At 41.2% G+C, this 24946-nt stretch overlaps 1 annotated feature.

The window, feature by feature from the left end:
* Window positions 12946–13146: a silencer, noted in NCBI's record as "peak7214 fragment used in MPRA reporter construct". NCBI's record gives its function as "represses an SCP1 promoter by STARR-seq MPRAs in K562 erythroleukemia cells {active_cell/tissue: K562}" and the evidence as "EXISTENCE:reporter gene assay evidence [ECO:0000049][PMID:32103011]".

Genomic DNA, 24946 nt, shown 5'->3' with positions numbered 1-24946 from the left:
AATGCCTAAGTTCACCATTTCATTCCTAGCATGTTACACCAGAGATTTAAGCCTTAGCTTCCTCACCTCTAATAGTATTTTTAAAGTACTTACCTCACATATCGTGTCCGGAATTGGTGGGTTCTTGGTCTCACTGACTTCAAGAATGAAGCTGCAGACCCTCGCCGTGAGTGTTACAGTTCTTAAAGGCCGCGCGTCCGGAGTTTGTTCCTTCTGATGTTCAGATGTGTTCGGAGTTTCTTCCTTCTGGTGGGTTTGTGGTCTCGCTGGCTCAGGAGTGAAGCTGCAGACCTTCGCGGTGAGTGTTACAGCTCATAAAGGAAGTGTGGACCCAAAGAGTGAGCAGCAGCAAGACTTATTGCAAAGAGAGAAAGAAGGAAGCTTCCACAGTGTGGAAGGGGACCGAAGCGGGTTGCCACTGCTGGCTCGGGCAGCCTGCTTTTATTCTCTTATCTGGCCCCACCCACATCCTGCTGATTGGTCTGTTTTGACAGGGCGCTGATTGGTGCGTTTACAATCCCTGAGCTAGACACAAAGGTTCTCCACCTCCCCACCAGATTAGCTAGATACAGACTGTGGACACAAAGGTTCTCCAAGTCCCCACTGGAGTAGCTAGATACAGAGTGTCGATTGGTGCATTCACAAACCCTGAGCTAGACACAGGGTGCTGATTGGTGTGTTTACAAACCTTGAGCTAGATACAGAGTGCCGATTGGTGTATTTACAATCCCTGAGCTAGACATAAAGGTTCCCCAAGGCCCCACCAGAGTAGCTAGATAGAGTGTCCATTGGTGCATTCACAAACCCTGAGCTAGACACAGGGTGCAGATTGGTGTGTTTGCAAACCTTGAGCTAGATACAGAGTGCCGATTGGTGTAATTACAATCCCTTAGCTAGACATAAAGGTTCTCCAGTCCCCACCAGACTCAGGTGCCCAGCTGGCTTCGCCCAGTGGGTCCCCCATCGGGGCTGCAGGTGGAGCTGCCTGCCAGTCCAGCGCCGTGCGCCCACACTCCTCAGCCCTTGGGTGGTCGATGGGACTGGGCGCCGTGGAGCAGGGGGCTGCGCTCCTCGGGGAGGCTGGGGCTGCACAGGAGCCCACGGACGGTTGGGGAGGCGCAGGCATGGCCGGCTACAGATCCCGAGCCATGCCCTGCGTGAAGGCAGCTAAGGCCAGGCGAGAAATTGAGCACAGCAGCTGCTGGCCCAGGTGCTAAGCCCCTCACTGCCCGGGCCGGTGGGGCCTGCCGGCCTCTCTGTGTGCAGGGTCCGCAGAGCCCACGCCCACCCGGAACTCGTGCTGGCCCGCAAGCACCGTGCGCAGCCCCCGTTCCCGCCCGCGCCTCTCCCTCCACACCTCCTCGCAAGCTGAGGGAGCCGGCTGCGGCCTTGGCCAGCCCAGGAGGGGGCTCCCACAGTGCAGTGGCGGGCTGAAGGGCTCCTCAAGTGCCGCCAAAGTGGGAGCCCAGGCAGAGGAGGCGCTGAGAGTGAGCGAGGGCTGCGAGGACTGCCAGCACGCTGTCACCTCTCAATATGAGATAGTATATGTACAATGTTTAGTACAGTGCCCGGGATAGAGTATGTAAAAAATAAATATTACTATGTATTATTATTGTTAAAGCTTTAAAAATGAAGTTAATAGCCATCACTTGTATAAAGCTTGTAATAATGTCCCAGTGATTAATTTAAAAGATGAAAACAATACAAGATATGTTCATATAACTTTAAGTGATCACAAGAGAGACAAGCCATTATAAATAATGCAAGTATGCTTCTGTGTTCATTTCTCTCCAAAAGTAACATTTCACTCAAGTGTGACTTATGGCTTGATTACCCCTTTCAGAAACAGGAAACATTTGTTAAACCTTATTCTCCTTAAAAAAAAATTCGAATAAAAAAACTTAACTTCACAGTGCAGATAGAAATGAAAATAAACTTCTAGTTTAGAGAGAATGAATTACTCATATGCACTAGCTACGTCTCTCTCTCAAAATTCATTAAAATGAAGTCCATGAAATTTTTAAGGACATAAGACCAACAAGACGAAAACAAAACAGAAGACAGAAACCACAATATTTTGGAAGCTAGAAATCGTTCGACCAGAGTTAACTAGACACAGAAATGGTACTAACTAATTGGTGGGGGGAAAGCAATCTGCACTGCAGAACCTCTAAAAGAGCATGAATTAGTGTCTACTTGTACGTTTGGAATTGGGGATCAGGTAAAATTAAAATTAAGAGGAGTAGTTGAAAGTATGTTTAAGGCCAGGTGTTGTGGCTCACGCCTGTAATCCCAGCACTTTGGAAGGCCGAGGCAGGCGGATCACGAGGTTAAGAGATCAAGACCATCCTGGCTAATATGGTGAAACTCCGTCTCTACTAAAAATACAAACATTAGCTGGGCGTGGTGGCACGCACCTGTAGTCTCAGCTATTTGGGAGGCTGAGGCAGGAGAATTGCTTGAACCCTGGAGGTGGAGGTTGCAGTGGGCCGAGATCGTGCCAACACACTCCAGCCTGGCAACAGAACGAGACTTGGTCTCAAAAAATGAATAAATAAATAAAAATAAATAAAGTATTTTTTTTCTTTTTTTTTTTTTTTTTGAAACGGAGTCTCGCTCTGTCACCCAGGCTGGAGTGCAGTGGCGCAATCTCGGCTCACTGCAAGCTCCGCCTCCCGGATTCATGCCATTCTCCTGCCTCAGCCTCGTGAGTAGCTGGGACTACAGGCGCCCGCCACCACGCCCGGCTAATTTTTTGTATATTTAGTAGAGATGGGGTTTCACCATGTTAGCCAGGATGGTCTCGATCTCCTTACCTCGTGATCTGCCCACCTCGGCTTCCCAAAGTGCTGGGATTACAGGCGTGAGGCACCGTGCCTGGCCAAAATAAAGTGTGTTTTTAAAAAAACAGGCAAAATGTGATACCAATTCATTTATACCAGAGTGGGTGGCTATAATGAAAAAGATAGTAACAAATCTTATATAGGATGTGGAGCAATGGAGACCTCATATGCTGCTGGTGGGAATGGAAATGGTGCAGCCACTTTGGAGACCAATAGTTCCTCAAATGATTAAGCACAGTGTTAGCATATGATTGAGCAATTCTACTCCTAGGTATATACCCAAGAGAAATGAAAATATGTCCGCACAAAAATTTATTCAGTCTATGATTGTTCATAGCAGCATTATTCATAGCAGCATTATTCATAGCAGACAAAAAGTAGATATAACTTCAAGCCATCAAATGATGAATGAATATATAAAATATGGTATATCCATACAATGGAATATTTTTTGGCAATAAAAAAATGAAGGACAGATTCATACTACTACACACATGGAAACAGAGGCTAAGAGAAAGAATCCAGTCAGAAAAGACTGCATAGTGTATGATTCCATTTCTATGAACTGTCCAGACTAGGAAAATCCATAGAAACAGAGAGGAGATTAGTGGTTGCCTAGGTCTGGGGTGGGGTGGAGGTGGGGAGTCAGTGAAGGATGGGGGCACTGGTTGGGAAGGATGACTTCTAAAGGGCATGTGGTTTCTTCTTGGGATGATGAAAATGTTCCAAAATTGACATGATGGTTGCACAACTCTGACTAAATATACAAAAACCATTAAATTATATACACTTTTTTTAGATGGGGTCTTGTATTGCTGACCAGGCTGTGGTTGAACTCCTGGGTTCAGGTGATCCTCTTGCCTCAGACTCCCAAGTAGCTGGGATTTCAGGTGTGCACCACCATGCCCAGCTGAATTTTATACTTTAAATGGGTAAATTGTGTGCTATGTGAAGGATATTTCAATCAAGTTGTTCAAGAAGAGTGGGGGTCTTTTCTTTGGAGGGAGTAAAAGAGAGGTTCACTGGTCCACACTGCATGGGCAATAAGATTGGGCTGATTTAAATCTTGGGCCTTTGTCCCTCTGTTGGCTCTCCGAAAGCTGTCAAAAGTTTATCCTCTAGAGAGATCAGTGGATCTCTGGGGAACCTGACTAGCCCAAGTGAATAAAGCTGAAGATGTTAACATGTGTCCAACAAAGTCATTCCTCTAGTTTTGCTACTGTGGTGCTCGCAGTCAACAAACTGAACTCATGCTCAGTCAGCGTTTTGGTGCCCCACTCTTAAATGGACAGCCAAGACAACCAGATTTTTTTAGGGAAGCGTCTAAAGCAGAGGCTCACAAAAATAGCCAGAAGAAAAGCAACCTGGAGGAAGAAGACACTACTAAGGAGAAGGAAATGACAAAATGTTTAAGGGACTAATATTAATATCAGAAATATATGACATGTTGCATGCATGAAATAAGAACAGGATGCTATTCTTAAAATACTCAAATACATTCACACAATAGGATACTATTCGGTGACAAAAAGGATGAGCTATCAAGCTATGCATAGATAGGGATTAATTTTAACTGCATATTGCTAAATGCAAAAAGTCAGACTGAAAAGGTCACATCCTGTATCCTCCAATTATATGACATTCTGGAAAAGGCAAAACGATAGCAACAGTAAAAAAGACCAGCGGTTGCCAGGGGTCTGAGGAGAGTGCTAAATAAGCAGACCACAGCAGATTTTTAGGGCAGTGATACTATTCTATATGATACTGTAATGATAGATACACGACATTAAGACACTATGCATTTGTCAATTTAAAAAAAAGTAAATCTTAATGCAAAATTTAAAAATTATTTAAAAGCTAGAGGATCTCAGGATGGAATACAGAATGTGACAAAACAATCTAACTGCATTACAAGTGCGTGAAACAACCTCACTGAACGGGGTGGGGAGAAAAAAGGAAATGCCTTACTTGTTTTAAATCCCAGCATTCCAAACATTTAACCACGAAATTCTATTAATATTAGTGAAGTTAGCAAACTTTTTCATGTAACATCTCCAAGTAGATACTGTAATACTCAAAAAATGACAGTGCTAGTTACAAAACAGCACAAGAAAAACTTGCTTTCTAGATAGAGTATCCCTAATCTTGAGAACAAGTTAAGCAGTCCATTTCTTTTTTATGATTTTCAGAAATCACCTGTTTATAAAAGAGAAAGAAAGACATTTATGCCACAACACAGGCCAGGCACTTGCACATATGTTATCTCATTCAATCTTCTTCACCTTTGAAAGATAGCAATTTCTATTCCCATTTTACCAAAAAAAATTACATAAATAATGTCCAAGATCACAGAATATGTGGTAGATTTTCAGTGAGTGTTTACTGGAAATGAATAAAACAATGAGTAATTTAAACACAAGTCATGCATATGAAACAAAAAGTATATCATAAGGCCGGGCACAGTGGCTCACGCCTGTAATCCCAGCACTTTGGGAGGCCAAGGTGGACAGATCACGAGGTCAGGAGATCGAGACTATCCTGGCTAACATGGTGAAACCCCCATCTCTACTAAAAATACAAAAAATTAGCTGGGTGTAATGGTGGGCACCTGTAGTCCCAGCTACTCGGGAGGCTGAGGCAGGAGAATGGCATGAACCCAGGAGGCAGAGCTTGCAGCGAGCTGAGATTGCACCACCGCACTCCAGCCTGGGCGACAGAGCGAGACTCCATCTCAAAAAAAAAAATATTTTATACATCGCTGAGCATGGAAATACATAATGAATTTAAATATTACTTATTTAGAAAGTTCAGTTATTGTTCAATGTTCACTGAAATTTTCATAAGAGGTTTCAGTGAGGGGAAAATATTTGAGTTGGGCTTTGAAGTATGGATAGACTATAAATAAATGGATGGGAGGGAGAAAGTTGAGGTGGAGGCAGCTACAGGCAAAGTCATGAGTGGGCAAGAACATGGCTGTGTAGAGTGAAGTGGATTAAAACACTTTCCTAGGAGCCTTTCAACTCTAACTTTGTTTCCCCACAATATGTAGAGGCTCTGCAATCAATGTCTACTAATGTTATGGGTCTTGTTAATATTTAACTTTCTTCAATATAATAACAAATATGGAAACATCATCAGATAAATAATTAAGTCAAAGAATGTAAGAACTAGGAGACCCTTAACATTTCCCAGGGCAATACACATGGTAAATGGCAGACTTGGGTGTGAACAGATATTTCTGGTTTCCATGTTCTTTATTCTTTCTACCTACAAGGTTTGATTCCTCATTTACAAATGAGGAATGAAGTCTGGAGAACTTATATTACATAGGTTTGTTGTTGTTGTTGTGGTTGTTGTTTTGGTTTTGAGACAGGGTCTAGCTCTGTTGCCCAGGCTGGAGTGCAGTGGCACGATCTCGGCTCGCTGCAAACTCCACCTCCTGGGCTCAAGCAATCTTCCTACCTCAGCCTCCTGAGGAGCTGGGACTAGAGGTGCACGCCACCACGCTCTGGCTGATTTTTGTAATTTTTGTAGAGACAAGGTTTCACCACATTACCCAGACTGGTCTCAAACTCCTGGGCTCAAGCGATCCGCCCTCCTCTGCCTCCCAAAGTGCTGGGATTACAGACATGAGTCACTGCACCCGGCCCATAGTTTTTATTAAAGAGCAAATGCAGTCAGGTTTTTGCATTCCAGTTTCTCTGGGAACACAGAATAACAATATATAATATAAATAGAACGCAGATACCAGGCTCTGTCACGCAGAAACAGAAGTCAAAAGCAGAGGAGTAGGTTACGGAGGAAGATGAATCTATTTGGTTTGTGTTGAATTTGAGTTTCTGCTAGATAAGCTTTGGATTTCCAGAGCACCCTTCTCAGAAGATTCTCCAAATTATGGGGAAACCACTTAGAGTTCTGGCAGAAATAATAAACTGTTTGTATATGCGTCTGTTTATTCTAATTCCAAACATTCCTTTTCTCCTTCAGTTAAGTGACCAAGTTGTGAATCGGCCCTTTGACAGTTAGGTATTATGTGTGTGTGCATTTTCTTAGCTTGATAGTTTAAATTACCCTGTAATCATTTGCTTCTTTGAAGGTTTAGGCTGAAAAGAAGACATATGGCACTTCTTAGTCACTCCCACGCTGGAAGATATGCCTGGTCTCTACCTTCACCCACTTGTCTTCATTTCAGTGGAAACCTCATAAAGACCAGGCCCACTGCTTGTCTAAACCTAGAGCTGATGAGAAAAGACAATCCCAATGTTACTGTAAAAGAATATTCTGTGTCCTGCCCCTGACTTTCCCCAGGAATTGGGGCAGAATCTCTCTTCCTTTTCATGAACACATTGCCCACTTAATTTGAGTTAGTGTTTTTTTAAAAAAATAAAATTGAGTTTCTGCAGTCCTTTAAAAAGATGACAAATGTCTTAGAAAAATAAATATTTTCCAGGATGCTCTCATCTTAAGGATAGTTGTGATTCAAGAAATAAGAAAATACAACTGATAAGAAACTCAGATAATATTCTCATTGCCTAAGTTTCTCGATGTGTTGAGAAAGAAAGCTAATAACACTTAGATTTATGTTTAAAAATGTATTTTCATGTTTAATGAAACATATGGGATAGTTTTGTTCTTTAAATAATTTGAAATTTCATAGGTACTTTGTTTCAAATTTCATTTTCATGGTGTCTTTTAAATTGGTTCATTTGGCCATGGACTAATCAGATTTTTTCCTGTTGATCTGCAGGCTAGAGGTTTCACAGTTTTAAGTCTTTTGCATTTTGAACAGTTTCCTTTTAGCCAATTTTTTTTTTTGCCTTTTTTTTGGTTGTTGTTGTTGTTGTTTTGTTTGTTTGTTTGAGACGGAGTCTCCCGCTGTCACCCAAGCTGGAGTGCAATGGCATGATCTCGGCTCACTGCAACCTCTGCCTCCTGGGTTCAAGCGATTCTCCTGCCTCAGCCTCCTGAGTAGCTGGGATTACAGGTGCCCGCCACCATGCCTGGCTAATTTTTGCATTTTTAGTAGAGACGGGGTTTCACCATGTTGGTCAGGCTTGTCTCGAACTCCTGACCCCGTGATCTGCCTGCCTTGGCCTCCCAAAGTGTTGGGATGACAGGCGTGAGCCACTGCGCCCGGCCCAATTTTTACTTCTGTATCACATTTTTAAAGTAAATGTGCAGATTAAGTATGTTAATATTTTTACTTATTTTATATCTACTATGTACAGGACTAACATTTCTTAATGGAAATTACTAATGAAGAAATTTAAAAAAGCTAACTAGCCTCTATTAGTGTTCTTATTAACAGGAACGGCCCGATAAATATGTTTCATGAAGTGTTTTTTTCATTCCAACTTGTAAATCATGGTATTTTATCCTGCTCCCTATAAAGATGTACTGTTCAATAGCAGTGAATTGAGCAATTAACTCTGCTAAGACTTCTTACGCACTTGTTTAAGGACTTGATAGCATCATCGGTATATCACAAAAAGCCCTTGTTCTTGGAACTCTCTCCCCTTCCTCCACTCCCTACCACAGAAAAGTAGTGAAAAATGTTTGAGTAGTATTTATCAGCATGCTGCACACCACAAAACATTTTGCCAAAAAGAAAAAGCAGCTAATGAGCTTGGAAGGAAAAGTGTGTCGCAGCAAAACAACTGTGTATTCCTAAGATGATCAGACATCCTGTTTTAGGACAGCACTATTATAGAAAGTCACTATTGATGAAAGTGAACTTGGAAAGATTTGTATTTCCGTATTCTTTCTTCTTCGAGCTTCCTGCCCCTGCTCCAATCCCCTACCGAATTCCACTTTCTAATAACAGTAATTTTAAAGGAGGGCATATCCCGATGGAATGCTTCTTTGTTTAGAACTTCCTTACCAGAAATTGTTTTCTCTTTTTTAAAAGATGTTACATTTATTGCTACATAACTGTTGTACACAAGTGACATTTTCTATAAAAGTGACCTAAAATGTCACTTGCTGTTATATTCCCTGCTGTTAATGGAAAAGATTCATCAATATCTATTAAAATGTAAAATGCACATGTCCTCCAGTCTAGCAATCCTACTCCTGTGAATCTATCCCAAAGAAATAAACAGATCAGTAAAGACATACAAGGATATTTATTGTAGCAGCGTCTGCATTGCCAAAAAATGGAAACAAAATCAACAGATGAAGGATTGCTCAATAGATAATGCTACCTCTAATCATGCAATATTGTGCTGCCATCAAAAATATGAATTCAAGGCCGGGCACGGTGGCTCACGCCTGTAATCCCAGCACTTTGGGAGGCCGAGATGGGTGGATCACGAGGTCAGGAGATCGAGACCATCCTGGCTAACACGGTGAAACCCCGTCTCTACTAAAAATACAAAAAAATTAGCCAGGCATGGTGGTGGGCGCCTGTAGTCCCAGCTACTCAGGAGGCTGAGGCAGGAGAATGGCATGAACCCAGGAGATGGAGCTTGCAGTGAGCTGAGATCGTGCCACTGCACTCCAGCCTGGGCAACACACCGAGACTCCATCTCAAAAAACAAACAAACAAACAAACAAACAAACATATATATATATACATGAATTCAACTTTATACCCAAATGATTTGGATGTATTTCTCCCAGGTAATGTTGGGTGAGAAAAGTAACCTGCTTTATAATATGGCCCCATTTTTAAAATTAATGATTTTTAAAACCCTGCATTTGCAATATATGTAAGTATATGTATGAATAGTTCTGCATGGAATTACATAAATCAAGAGTAAAAATGTAAGGATACATACTAGGCTATTAACATGAATTACAATGGAAATGGGATGTAAGGAGGTTGAAGTGGGGAGAAAGGAGATGAGATTTTTAAAAATTCATTATGAAAGCAGGTATATAATCACATTTATGTATTATCTACAATTATATAGAAAGCCTTAAAGATAGGAACATTTTTAAAAACAAAAGGCTTAGGCAACAATACCTGAAATTTGTCCAAGTCTATAATAATTATCAATGGAAACTGGAAATCAAAATAGAAAGTACATCATCTGAGACTATTTGTTCTTATAGCGAAAAGGCACTCCTTAATACATTATAGCCATAATGCAATGTGTAAATGCCATTAAAATTTTAAATTGCTGCATTGCCATTATATAATATCTGAGAATGTATAATAACTTCCATTTAATAATACTAACTGCTACCATTTTTGAACACTTTGGTGTTGGGTACTGTGAAGAGGCTTTAATACATTAGGTCATTTAATCCCAATGGTTTGCTATGAGAGAGACATAATTTTTCTTATTTTGTATTTGTTGAAATTGAGAATTAGACAAGGTAGGTGATCTAAGTTTATCCGGCTAACAAGTAGAAGACCCAGGGTTAAAGCCCAGTTGGGCTGACTCCACAATCCATGCTATTAGCCACTATTCTACATGCACTCCCTTTGTTCTGAAACCCAGATTTGCTCTGTTTTGTAACCTTTTCTTCTCCTGCAAAGGTTGTTGTGTGATATCTCAATCCTCTTAGCTGAGGTAAGCCTGACTGTGGGACTCATAGGATGTGCAGTATATTTAGAAAGAAGGAAACCCCATTAAGAAAAACTCTATGATATGTGCTACTTCTCTGCTTTGATCACTCTCAGAATCAGAATCTTGACTATCCAATACAGGGTATAAGTTTCTTAAGTTAGAATTTTATCACAGTAACAAAAATAATCATTCATTTATCCAACAAATATTTGTTGAATACCCGCTACATGCAAAGCATTATTCTAGGGACTGTTGGGAATGATAGGTTCATCCTCCATTATATTCCACGATATACTACAAACTATACACGATTTATAGTAAGGTTATTGTTTAATTTTTTTTTTTTTTTTTGAGATGGAGGAGTCTCACTCTGTCACCCAGACTGGAGTGCAGTGGCACGATCTAGGCTCACTGCAAGCTCTGCCTCCCGGGTTCACGCCATTCTCCTGCTTCAGCCTCCCGAGTAGCTGGGACTACAGGCGCTCGCCACCTCGCCTGGCTAATTTTTTGGATTTTTAGTAGAGACGGCGTTTCACCGTATTAGCCAGGATGGTCTCGATCTCCTGACCTTGTGGTCCACCCACCTCAGCCTCCCAAAGTGCCGGGATTACAGGCGTGAGCCACCGCGCCCGGCTGGTTACTGTTTAATTTTAACAAAAACTTAGTACTATTATCTAATTTGTTTTTAAATGTCCCTTTGATTAAAAATTTCAAATAACAAATAATATCTTATTTTCGGTTGGTGCAAAAGTAATTGTTGTTTTTGCCATTAAAAGTAATTGCAAAAATCCCTTTAAATTTCTATAAAGTGAAAAGATAAGGCTTAGACTAAGAGAAGATATTTGCAACATAAAACTTCTAAAAGACAAACAATACAATAGAAAATGGGCAATAGATATGAAGAAGATAATTCATAAAAGAATGTCCAATTGTCATATGATCTCATTAGTCATCACAGAAATCCCATTAAAGCAACAATTAGAAAAAAATTTAAAGTTTGAAAATACTGAATCCAGGATTCATAACTGGTGAGAGTGTAAGTCAGCACAACCTCTTTGGGAAGATCTAATTGAAAATGTGCATTCCTTATCTTGCAATTCTATATCTAGGTAATGAAAGCTGTATACATGTGCACAAAAAGTCACCAGTGAGCTCACTGGGGCATTGTAGTAGAGAAAAACGTAAAGCAACTAAACATCAATCTGTAAGACAATTGAAATAATAATGATGTATTCACACAGTGGAATACAATACACAGCAATTAAAATGGAAAAACAGGATCTATAAGAATCAACAGGGATAGCCTTCAATTAAGTAATGTTCAATGGAATAAAGAAAGTAGAGAATGATACCATTTATGTAATTTTTAAGGATATAAAACCATTCCATATTTTGCTTGTAAACACATATATAGAATAAAAGTATAAAAACAGCCTGGAAGGATAAACACCAAATTTAAGGTGGTGACTAATTCTAGACTATGGGAATGAGGAAGAGAACAAAAAGGACATCACCGTATTTGTAATGTCCATTTCTGTTACCATATTTGTAATACCACTCATATGTAAACACAAATTATTAACAATTTGTAAACTCTAGGTAGTGAAAACACTGATGTTTGTTGTAAAATTATTTATATTTACTGAACTTTCAATATTCTTTAATAAAATCAAAAGTATTACTGTGACTGCTCTTGAAGAATGGATTGCAGAGAGGCGAGAGATCAATTCAGGTCCAAGTATAACATGATGGTGGCTTGGATTAGCATTATAATAATGAAATGGAAAAAAATTGACTGATCAAGTGATTTTCTGTAGGTAAAATTTTAGAAGATACTGATGAACGGAATGTAAGGGGTAAGGAGAGAAAGGAATGAAGGATATCTCTGAATTCTAAATCATTTTTTTGTACACAGATTTATTTTCTGTTTGCAGTCTGATCTTGTAAATAGTTCCTCAGTTGGGTAAAAACATGGATAGTATGAAATTATCTGTATAGTCCCATTAAATGTCATTCAAAAAAAGTCACTTGGAACAATTACTGGTTAATAACTTCAGGCATAAATGTAAGAATATTATACTTCCACATCTTGTTGAAAAGTGCTTTATCCACAAATAATGCAAAGGGAACATACTAACAGGGCTTGGGTATTACTGGTCGTATTTCTAGTTAACCATGCTTTTTTATTCCCTGGAGTTCAACCTTCTTTTCTGTTTGGCCAGAACATGACATGTAGGCTAGAGGTGGATAATAGGGACAGAGGCTGGAGAATGGCAGTAATATTCATTTATGCCTTCTTTAGAAAGTGATTGTGAGAAACACATTCACCCATCCAAACTCAAAGAATGGACTTGGAGACACAAAGAACAGTGGAAGCAAGACTTTGCATGGTGGTCTTGCAAGATTGGGTGTCTGGTAGGCAGGCACACCCAATCTCCTAATTTATCTCCTAATGATAAATCAGCATGTAATTTATCTCCTAGCATGCAAGTCCCTGCCCCAGTTCCTCACTGGTCGAGTACTATCGGGTTACAATCTTTCCAGACAAAGCCTAAGTTTTATTACCCCCCTTATAAGGTTATACCCTCCCATCGCCTTCCCAGCTTAAGTTTGATTTCCCAATAATGAAACTTTCTTCCCTTTTATGGGCTGACCTCTCCTTTACAGTCTGTTCGCTTATCGTGACTTTCCAGGTGCACAAGCTGTGTGGTTTTTTACATCCTTAGGCTGGCTGCCAGTAGTTAGATTTATCATGCCTTGAAAATGGACCATTTAAAATGTTTTTTTCACAGTGATTATCCCATAAAATTTGAGAAAATTGATGTGAAATGAAATGGCAGGCCTTGAGGAATCCCTGGAGGTTTCACTTGAATACCTGAGGAAAAAACATTTTACAGTTAGTAAAGGGTTCATGAACCTGGAAGTTGGGTTTATGAAGGGACACTTGATTTACTTTTCCAGAATCAGCTAGTATTTGCGCTTTCCACAGAAAGTGTATCTTTACATAAAATTGCGTAATATATTTATTGCCCATGTCTCCCATTAGAATGTAAATTCCAACTGGGTGGGAATTTTTATTGGTGTTGGTCACGTCTTTTTTTTTTTTTTTTTTTTTTTGAGACGGAGTTTTGCTAAGTCGCCCAGGCTAGAGTGCAATGGCACGATCTTGGCTCACTGAAATCTCCACCTCCCAGATTCAAGTGATTCTCCTGCCTCCGCCTTCCAAGTAGCTGGAATTACAGGCATCCGCCATCATGCTTTACACATTTTTGTATTTTTAGTAGAAACGGGGTTTCACCATGTTGGCCAGGCTGGTCTTGAACTCCTGACCTCAGTTGATCCACCACCTCGGCCTCCCAAAGTGCTGGGATTTCAGGCGTGAGCCACAGCACCCGGCCGTGGTCACTTCTTTATTCAATAAGTTTTAGTTAAATGAATTTGATAAATGGAAAGTTTTACTTGCTGATAGGTTGTCTTTATAGTACAAACATATTTTGTTTTACCCATATGATGAACTTTACATCGTTAGTGCTTCCTGTTATTGGCAATGGGATTATGATAAGTATAAGGATGAAAACTATAGCTGGTGAAAAAAAAATAACTGCAGAGGGTTGAGGCATATGTTGTGTTCATGCTCTGCAATGCTTGCTGTATTAGTTTTGTATTGCTGCTGTGATAAAATACCACACATTCCATGACTTAAAGCAGCACAAATTTATTATTTTACAGTTCTGGAAGTCAGAAGGCTGAAATGTGTCTTAGGGTAAAATCCATCTAGAGGCTCTAGGGGAAAATCTGTTTCCTGGCCTTTTTCAGCTTTTAGAGACTGCTGCAATTCTTGACTCACACCCCCTTTCTCCATCTTCAAAGAGCATCACTCCAACCTCTGCTTCTGTTGGTATAGCTTCTCTCTGACTCTGGCCCCCTTGTCTCCCTCTTATAAGGATATTTGTAATTATATTTTGCCAATCTGGATAATCCAGAATAATCTCTCCATCTCAAGACCCTTAAGTTGATCACATTTGTAGTCCGTCTTGCCATGGAAGGTAACATATTTGCAGGTTCTAGGGATTTGGATGTGAACATTTTTTGAAGGGGGAACTGTTCACATCCAAATCCCTAGAACCTGCAAAGATGTTGTCTTCCATGGCTATTCTGGTTTACCACCACCATTTAGAAATTTCACTTGCATTGAAATTTTCACTCTTTGCTCATCCACTACTGTTGCTTCAACGGCAAAAATACTGAAAAATTCTGAAAATTTACAGGCACTCAGCAGAGTTTCACCCTGAATCAAAAAAATTTATTCCTATCTCAGCTGAGAAGTTCCTCATTATCTTGATAATAAATGGGAGGAAGGGAGAACATTATGTCTTTTATCAACTATTTTAAAAGATTGAAATATAAGTTATAAACAATAATTGTCAAGTTGTAAGGCAGGTTTGCACCTCACCTGGCATTTCTTACCTTCTAAACATGCTGAAATTTTCTTTTCAGTTACATTCAAATGTGTGTTGTGCTTCAAAGCAGCAAACTTGGTAGGGCAGGCTTTTAATCACAAGGATGTTGCTTTTATTCTCAACATTTTTATAGTTTCTTTTTTTGAATTGTCTTTAGAGACAGTTCACTAGACACGCAGGAAAACATGGCTCATTATTTTAAGGTCACAAGGTACTTTGCTTGCTCTGTCTTCTTCCCTTCCCCATTGTTTTAGTCTAGTTAGCCTCATCTCCACTCCTTCCTCTGCTGATATTAGTGCCAGAGATCTGTGAGGTTGAGAGGAAGGCCTGGGGAGCCCAGAGTGTAGCTGGGAAGGGAGCAGGAAGAGCCTCACAAAGGGCCTACAAAGTAACAAACTCTAATGTACATTTGTGTGATCCAGTTCATTTTACATACTATTAATAAGTTGCTTGAGCATCAGTCATGTCATTAAAATAAATATGTATTGAGAACTGTATGTAATTTAATCTAAACTTTTATTAGTTCCCAATGTAAATATTATCTTAAATAAAAAGGTATACTCAAACAGACTTTTTGATGTATTGCTTTTTAACAGGAGAGGTGGGATCAGTAAAGGAGAGACTGGAAAAATGTTGGAAATTTTCTGTACTGACTCTTCTCAAAGTATGTTTCAGTTTAGAGATTTTCTTAGAACAGCTCTATGATTTGAAGCTTTTCAACTTCAGTAATGAAAGTTTACTAGTTACGTAGGTACACGGATAAATTTAAAACATTTTAATAATGACATCATATGAAATATTTATACCATATAATACAGGCTACAAATATTTTTGAATACTGGAGTTATTAAATGTAAACACAATTTACAAACCTTCTGATATTTTCAGTTTTTGAATTTACAAAATATTTGGACAGATTCTTTCAGAGGCCCCATTCAGAAGAAAGTTTCTAAAATATTTGATATATATATATATATATATATATATATATACACAGACATATAATATTTTCCTCATAAACCAATTAATATTACTAGTCGATAAAATATATTTGTTATATATATACAGACATATAATATTTTCCTCATAAACCAATTGAGATTACTATTTAATAAAATATGTCCAGCCAGGCGCAGTGGCTCACACCTGTAATCCCAGCACTTTTGGAGGCCGAGGCGGGCGGATCATGAGGTCAGGAGATTGAGACCATCCTGGCTAACACAGTGAAACCCGTCTCTACTAAAAATACAAAAAATTAGCCAGGCGTGGTGGCGGGCGCCTGTAGTCTCAGCCACTTGGGAGGCTGAGGCAGGAGAATGGCGTGAACCCGAGAGGTGGAGCTTGCACTGAGCCGAGATCGTGCCACTGCATTCCAGCCTGGGCGACAGAGCGAGACTCTGTCTCAAAACACATAAATAAATAAATAAATAAAATATGTCCATAACTGAAGAGTAATCAAACGAAGTGCAATGATAAGTCCTATTTTAGGCTCTAATTTCACATAAGAAAATTGTTTTTTTCTTTTTCCTTACAAGACAGATATCCTCTATTTAACAAAACTGCCTACAGCCTAGTTAGTTGCTGCTCTCACTGTGTCTTTCAGAATAATCTATTTTGGTCTGAAAGCCATCAGAAAACTTGAAATAAGTGAACCATGTAACAAGAGCTTGTAGAAAAATAAAGAAACTGTATTAGGCCATTCTTGCATTGCTATAAAGAAATACCTGGCCAGGGGCGGTGGCTCGCGCCTGTATTCTCAGCACCTTGGGAGGCCAAGGTGGGCAGATCACAAGGTCAAGAGTTCGAGAACAGCCTGGCCAACATGGTGAAACCCCGTCCCTGCTAAGAATACAAAAATTAGTAGGTCATGCTGGCATGTGCCTGTAATCCCCGCTACTCGGGAGGCTGAGGCAAGAGAATTGCTTGAACCCAGGAGGCAGTTGCAGTGAGCCAAGATCACGCCACTGCACTGCAGCCGGGGTGACAAAGCAATACTCTGTCTCAAAAAAAAAGAAAAAAAATCTGAGATGGGGTAATTTATAAAGAAAAAAGGTATAATTGGCTCACAGTTCTGCTGGCTTTACTGGAAGCAGGGTGCTGCTCAGCATCCGGGAAAGCCTCAGGAAACTTACAATCATGGTGGAAGGCAAAGGTGGGGCAGGTGCTTCATAAGGCAAAAGCTGGAGCAAGCAAGGGGGTAGGGAAGGGAGGTGCCAGATACTTTTAAATGACCAGGTCTTGTGAGATCTCACAGGGAGAGCTCACTTATCACCAAGGGGATGGCCCAAGACATTTGCAAGGAATCTAACTCCATCACCAAACTATCTCCCACCAAGCTCCGCCTCCAACATTTGGGATTACAATTCAACAAGAGATTTGGGCAGGGACGCAAAGCCAAACCATGTCAAAAACAAACAAACAAACAAAAGTTGCTCTTCGGCTTCCTTTGATGGCTCATCCCTTTGCTATAATAAGAATAGAAAGCTCTAAATTCTAAATCCACACTGTCCCACATGCAGCCAATCTCTGTATGTGAACATCAAGCACTTAAGTGTGCGTAGTGTGAACTGAAATGTGCTGCAGGTGTAAAATACACATCAGATCTCAAAGACTTAGAATGAAAGAAGAATGTAGGGGCAGTTGGCAAGATGGCTGGCTAGAAGCAGCTAGTATACATGGCTCTCACGGAGAGGAACAGAAAGGGCTAGTAAATACAACACCTTCAACTGAAACATCCAGGTACTCGTATTGGCATTAATCAGGGGAACAACTCAACCCACAGAGAATGAAGAAAAGCAAGACAGGATAATGGCCACCTGGGAGCAACATGAAGACAGGGTATCCTCTGTCCAGGGAAGTGGTAAGTGAATGAGCAACCCTGGGAGACCATGCTTCTCCCACAGATCTTTGCAACCCTTGGGTCAGTCAGATCTCCTTGTGAACCCACTCCACCAGGGCCTTCTGTCTTCAGTCTGACAGACAGAGCTACATGGAACCTTGGCAGAGCAGCCACTAAGGCACGTGTGGAGACCCTGGAGGCTTAGATACTTGAGCTTTCTGGCAAAAGTAGCTGCAGCTCTGGCAAAGAGGGAGGTTAGACTATTGTACATACCCCTAGGAAAGAGGCTGAATCCAGGGGGCTGAGCAGCGGCAGGCCGCAGGCCTCATTTTCATGGCACCTCACAAGATAAGACCTGTTGGCTTGGAATTGCAGCCAGCTGCCACTAGCAGCATTGCACCCCCCTAAGAAGGAGTTTCCAGGGGGAGGGGTGGGCCACCATCTTTGCTGTTCAGGCACTTTAGCTGTTCTAGCCTTCAGGCTTTGGAGTGTCTGAGCCAACCCGGGGCAGAAGGGGATCCCCCAGCACAGCACAGCTGCTCTACCAAAATACGGACAGACTGCTGCTTTAACTGGGTGGCCAATCCCGTTCCTCCCCGCTGGGCAGGACCTCCCAGCAGGGGCCTCTAGCTACCCCCGACCCAAGCTTTCTAGCTGACAGAGATCTGAATCCCCCTGGCACAGCACTCCCAGAGGGTGGGGCAAGTGTATTAGTCCATTTTCACACTGCTGATAAAGACATACCCAAGACTGAGCAATTTACAAAAGAAAGAGGTTAAATTGGACTTACAGTTCCATGTGGCTGGGGAAGCCTCACAGTCATGGTGGAAGGCAAGGAAGAGCAAGTCACATCTTACGTGGATAGCAGAAGGCAAAAAATGAGAGAGCTTGTGCAGGAGAAAGCCTCTTTTTAAAACCATCAGATCTTGTGAGACTTATTCACTATGACAAGAAAAGCACAGGAAAGATTTGCTCCTGTGATTCAATTACCTCCCACCAGGTCCTTCCCACAACACATGGGAATTCAAGATGAGATGTGGGTGGGGACACAACCAAACCACATCAGCAAGCCACCATCTTTGCTGTTTGGGCAACTTAGCCATTCCAGCCTTTGGGCTTTGAAGTGTCTGAGGTGACTGGGGGCTGCAATGAACCCCCAGGACAGCATGACTGCTCTACCAAAATGTGGCCAGACTGCTTTTTTAAGCAGGTCCTGATCCTGTTCCTCCTCCCTGGACAAGACCTCCCAATCAGGGTCTCCAGCCACTTCCTACAGGTGCCTTTGGGCTGACAGGAGGTCTGTATCTATCTGGGACAAAGCTCCCAGAGAGGACAGGCTGCCATCTTTGCTGTTTTGCAGGCTTCGCTGGTGAGACCCACAGGTTCTGGAAAATCTGAGGTGACTAGGGACTGGAGTAGGCCCCAAGCATACTGCAGAAGCCCTACAGAAAGTGGCCGGACTGTTATGTAGGTGCCCATTCCCATACGTCCTCATCAGGCAGGTCCACCAGGCCTGGGCCTCCAGCCATCCCCTGCCACAGCTATCAAACCAGTACCAACTCAGCAACTCCATGGACAGAGCCTCCAGGGCAACTGAAAGCCTCTCTGCCACTGCCTCTGCAGTGGAACTGCCCTTGCCACCGTTGGACTAATGAAGGAACAAAGACCCTAAGTGCCTTATCCACACCTCCAACAAGCTGCAGTTGACCCAAGGAGCAGAGACTAGTCTGCTCCCATGGGTCCCACACATGCCCCACAGCTCATCACCAGACAGGGAACACCTGGCTTGGGCCCTGTACAAACCCTCCATGTTGGGCTGATTGCACTGAATGATTGCTGACCTATATCCCTCTGGGGTGGAGCCCCCATGAGTCAAGCAAATGACCCCTGGCACAACCACTACTAAAATCTCTTCCTCTTCTGCCTCTAAGCTGGGGAAGGAACATAAACACTGAGATCACCCCAGACTGGCAGTGGGCAGCCCAGGAGTGCCAAGTTGTGAACTACAGCCAGCATTCAAGGGGGAGTGGAACTCACACTTTCAGAGCATTGAAAGGGAACACAGCTGCAACTGTGAGGAAACACAGGGAATCCACACAATTGGGCAAGCGTCAACCAACTGACCAATAAGCCTAAGTGTCACCTACTGGATCACACCCCAAAGTTTCAATACCAAAAATACCTTATTAACATATTTCCCTCTGAAACCAAAGATAAGAAGTCAGCTTCAAATAAAAAGCATAGCTACACAAAGCCTCAGCCCTGTGAAAACATCCAGAAAAGAAGTCTATTGGTTATACTCTATCTACACTGCAGTTAAAGTAACACCCACGCACAGAGGTGAGAAAGAACCAATACAAGAACTCCAGTGACTCAAATGGCCAGGGTGTCACATATTCTACTAATGACCAAACCAGTTCTCCAAGAGTTCTTAACCAGGCCGAACTGGCTGAAATGACAGAAATAGAATTCAGAATATGGACAGGAACAAAGATCACTGAGATTCAGGAGGATGGCAAAACCCAATCCAAGGAAAATAAGCATCACAATAAAGTGATACAGGAGCTGAAGGACAAAATAGTTGGTACAAAAAAGAACATAATGGGTCTGACAGAGCTTAATAACACAAGAATTTTGCAATGCAATCACAACTACAAACAGCAGAATACACCAAGCTAAGGAAAGAATCTCCAAACTTGAAGATCGGTTCTCTGAAATAAGACAGTCGGACAAAAACAAGGAAAAAAAAGAAAGAACAAAACCCCTGAGAGGTATGGGATTATGTAAATAGGCCAAATCTATGAATCACTGGCATCCCTGAAAGGCAGGGGGAGAAAGCAAACAACTTGGAAAATATATTTCAGGATATCATCCATGAAAACTTCCTCAACGTTGCTACAGAGGCCAACAGTCAAATTCAGGAAATACAGAGAACTCCTGCAAGATTCTACACAAGAAAATCATCCCCCAGGAAAATCTGACATAATTGTCAGATTTTCCATGGTCGAAATGAAAGAAAAAATATTAAAGGCAACTGGAGAGAAAGGGCCGGTCACCTACAAACTGATTCCCATCAGGCTAACAGCAGACCTCTCAGCTGAAACCCTACAAGCCAGAAGAGACAGGGAGACTATTTTCAACATTCTTAAAGAAAAAAAATTTCAACCAAGAATTTCATATCCAGCTGTACTAGTCCATTTTCATGCTGCTAATAAAGACATACCCGAGACTGAGCAATTTACAAAAAAAGAGGTTTAGGCCAGGCGTGGTGGCTCACGCCTGTAATCCCAGCACTTTGGGAGGCCAAGGTGGGCGGATCACGAGGTCAGGAGATCAAGACCATCCTGGCTAACATGGTGAAACCCCGTTTCTACTAAAAATACAAAAAATTAGCCAGGCGCAGTGGCAGGCGCCTGTAGTCCCAGCTACTCGGGAGACTGAGGCAGGAGAATGGCGCGAACCCAGGAGGCGGAGCTTGCAGTGAGCCGAGATAGAGCCACTCCAGTCCAGCCTGGGCGAAACAGCGAGACTCCGTCTCAAAAAAAAAAAAAAAAAAAAAAAAAAAAGAGGTGTAATGGACTCACAGTTCCACATGTCTGGGGAGGCCTCACAATCATGGTGGAAGGTGAAAGGCATCTCACATGGTGGCAGTCAAGAGAGAGGAAGAAGTGAAAGCAAAAACCCCTTAGAAAACCATCAGATCTGGTGAGACTTACTTACTACCATGAGAACAGTATGCGGGAAACTACCCCCACGATTCAATTTTACCTCCCACTGGGTCCCTCCCATAACTCATGGGAATTATGGGAGTATAATTCAAGACAAGATTTCGGTGGGGACACAGAGCCAAACCATATCATTCTGCCCCGGCCCCTCCCAAATCTCATGTCCTTATATTTCAAAACTAATCATGCCTTCGCAACAGTCCCCCAGAGTCTTAACTCATTTCAGCATTAACTGAAAAGTCCACAGTCCAAAGTTTAAAGTTTAAAATTTACAGATTTGGGCTGGACATGGTGGCTCACTCCTGTAATCCCAGCACTTTGGGAAGGCAAGGTGGGCAGATCACTTGAGGTCAGGAGCTCAAGTCTGGCCAACATGGCAAAACTCCATCTCTACTAAAAATACAAAAAATTACCTGGGCGTGGTGGCACTCACCTGTAATCCCAGCTACATGAGAGGCTGAGGCAGGAGAATCACTTGAACCTGGGAGGTGGAGGTTGCAGTGAGCCAAGATCGTGCCATTGCACTCCAGCCTGGGTGACAGAGTGAGACTCCATCTCGAAAAATAAAAATTACATATTTGGCTCACATTTGTAGCTCATATTGCACGCACTGTTCTAAATCATAAGGGCAATATTTTTTCCCGTACAATCAGATAGCTTCACTACCAAGTAGATTTGTTTAAATGAGTTGCAGTATACTTACACATTAAAATATCTTTAATTCAAAATATTTTAAAAGCATTATCTATTTAATCAGCATCTTATTCTATAAGAGTAGATCATTATGTCCCCCATGTTCCAAAGGCAGCACACAGAGATTTAAATGACTGACAACTATAGAAGTTGTACAGGTGCTCTAAGTCTATAGCTAGATTAAATTACAATGCCTTCAATTTTACTTTTTTTTTCTTTTTTGAGATGCAGTCTCGCTCTGTTGCCAGGCTGGAGTGCGGTGGCATGATCTCGGCTCAATGCAACCTCCGCCTCCCGGGTTCAAGCGATTGTCCTGCCTCAGGCTCCAGAGTAGCTGAGACTACAGGTGTGCACCACGACGCCCAGCTAATTTTTTTAATTTTTAGTAGAGATGGCGTTTCACCATGTTGGCCAGGATGGTTTTGATCTCTTGACCTCGTGATCCACCTGCCTTGGCCTCCCAAAGTGTTGGGATTACAGGCGCGAGCCACCGCACCCAGCCTCATTTTACTTTTCTTTGCATACTTCCTTTAGAGAAGCAATGGTCATTTTATCTAAAAAACAAAACAAAACAAAACGTTTGTCTAGAAAAAAGCAAATCATTGATCCTGGGAAAGAGGCTTAACATATGGGAGCTTAAATGATGAATCTCAACAGATTTTCCCTCGATGACAGTAAAAGACGAGAAAAACCTGAATCAATTGCTGCAGTTGGCAAAAGCGTTATAACAGAAAAGCTATCGAAATTCTCACCAATTCCGGTACTCCACAAATAACTCTTGCTGAATTATGTTTACAGAAGGGCAAGTTGGTTGGTTTTCACCAATAAATGTGGTCATCTCCCTCTTTTTCTCTCTCTCTCCATATATATATATATATGATATATATGATATATATATCATATATAGCCATCCATATATTCATATATATGTGTCTATATTTTATATATATCCATCCAACCATCCATCGCCAGAGAACCGAAACCTGGACTGTTTTTTAATAAGCTTCAAAAAGCTCCCTTTTCCCACAGCTAACGTTAAACTCAATGGTGAAAAGCTTTTCCTCTAAGAGATCAGGAACAAAACAAGGATGCTCACTCTCATCACTTCTGTTCAACACAGTACTGGAAGTCCTAGCCAGAGTAATTAGGCAAAATAAAAATAAAAATAAAAAGGCATCCATATAGAAAAAGAAGAAATTCAAGAAGTGTCTCTGTTTACTGATGACATGATTTATATATAGAAAACCCTAATTCTCTACAGCTAGTGACAAAATAGAAGCCTATGGAAAATAAGTAGTCTGATCAAATTTTCATTACATAGTTATCCCAATCACAAAGTCACTATCACAATTTGAGATTAGCCTGAGAAATAGGGATCTTTGAGATGATTCCAATAGCCATGGGGTCCCATCATAACCCTGGAAATAGACTCAGGGAAACTGAATGACTTGCTCAAAGTCCTCCAGCTAGCAGGCAAAAGAGGTGCTTCAGATTCAAACTCCTGTGCCCTTTCATATGCTACATTTCCTTGACAACAGTAGTCTCCCCTTAGCTTCGGTTTTGCTTTCCATGGTTTCAGTTACCCAAGGTCAACTGCAGTCCAAAAACATTACATGGAAAATCTCAGAAATAAATAATTCACAGGTTTTACTTTGTGCACCGTTCTGAGTAGTATAATGAAATCTCGCACCATCCTACTCCTTCCCACCCAGGACATGAATCATCCCTTTGTCCAGTGTACCCATGCTGTAGACCTGACCCTCTTGTTAGACACTTCAGTAGCCTCCTCAATTATCCAATTCACTGTCTTATGACAGTGCCTGTGTTCAAACTGCCTTTGTTTTACTTAATAATGGCCCCCAAACACAAGAGTAGTGATGCTGGCAATTCAGATATGTCAAAGAAAAGCCACAAAGTGTTTCCTTTAAGTGAAAAGGTGAAAGTTCTCAAAAAAAAAATTGTATGCTCACATCTACTGTAAGAATGAATCTTCTATGCATGAAATTGTGAAAAAGAAAAGAAATTCATGATAGTTTTGCTGTCACGCCTCATACTGCAAAAGTTATGGCCAGTGTGTAGTAAGTGCTTAGTTACGATGAAAGAGGCCGAAAATATCTAATAATCTGATTTTAAAATGGGCAAAAGATCTGAATAGACATTTTCTCAAAAGAAGACATACAAATAGCCGGCGAGTATATGAAAAAATGCTCAACATCAGAGAAATGCAAATCAAAGCTACAATGAGATACCATCTCACCCTAGTTAAAATTTATCCAAAATACAGGCAATAACAAATGCTGGAGAGGATGTGGAGAAAAGTGAACCCTCATGCACTGTTGGTGCGAATGTAAATTAGTACAGCCACTATGGAGAACAGTATGGAGGTCCCACAAAAAAACTAAAAATAGAAGTACCATATGATACAGCAATCCCATTGCTAGGTAATACCCCCCAAAAATGAAATCAGTGTTTCAAAGAGGTATCTGCATACCCATGTTTATTGCAGCACTATTAACAATAGCCAAGATTTGAAAGAAACCTAAGTGTCCATTAACAGATGAATGGATAAAGAAAATGTGGTACCTATATGCAATGGAGTACTATTCAGCCATAAAACAGAATGAAATCCTGTCATTTGAAACAACATGGATGGAACCAGAGGTCATTATATTAAGTGAAATAAGCAAGGCACAGAAAGATAAACTTTGCATATTCTCACTCATTTGTGGTAGCTAAAAATTAAAACAACTGAACTCATGAAAATAGAGTAGAATGATGGTTACCATAAGTTGGGAAGGGTAGTGAGGGGAGCACGGGTGGGAAATGGGGAGGGTTGATGGATACAAAATATGGTTAGAAAGAATGAATA

The sequence above is a fragment of the Homo sapiens genome, chromosome 9, assembly GCF_000001405.40.
Source record: "Homo sapiens chromosome 9, GRCh38.p14 Primary Assembly".
NCBI lineage: Eukaryota > Metazoa > Chordata > Mammalia > Primates > Hominidae > Homo > Homo sapiens.
This window is presented reverse-complemented; position numbering and strand designations above follow the sequence as displayed.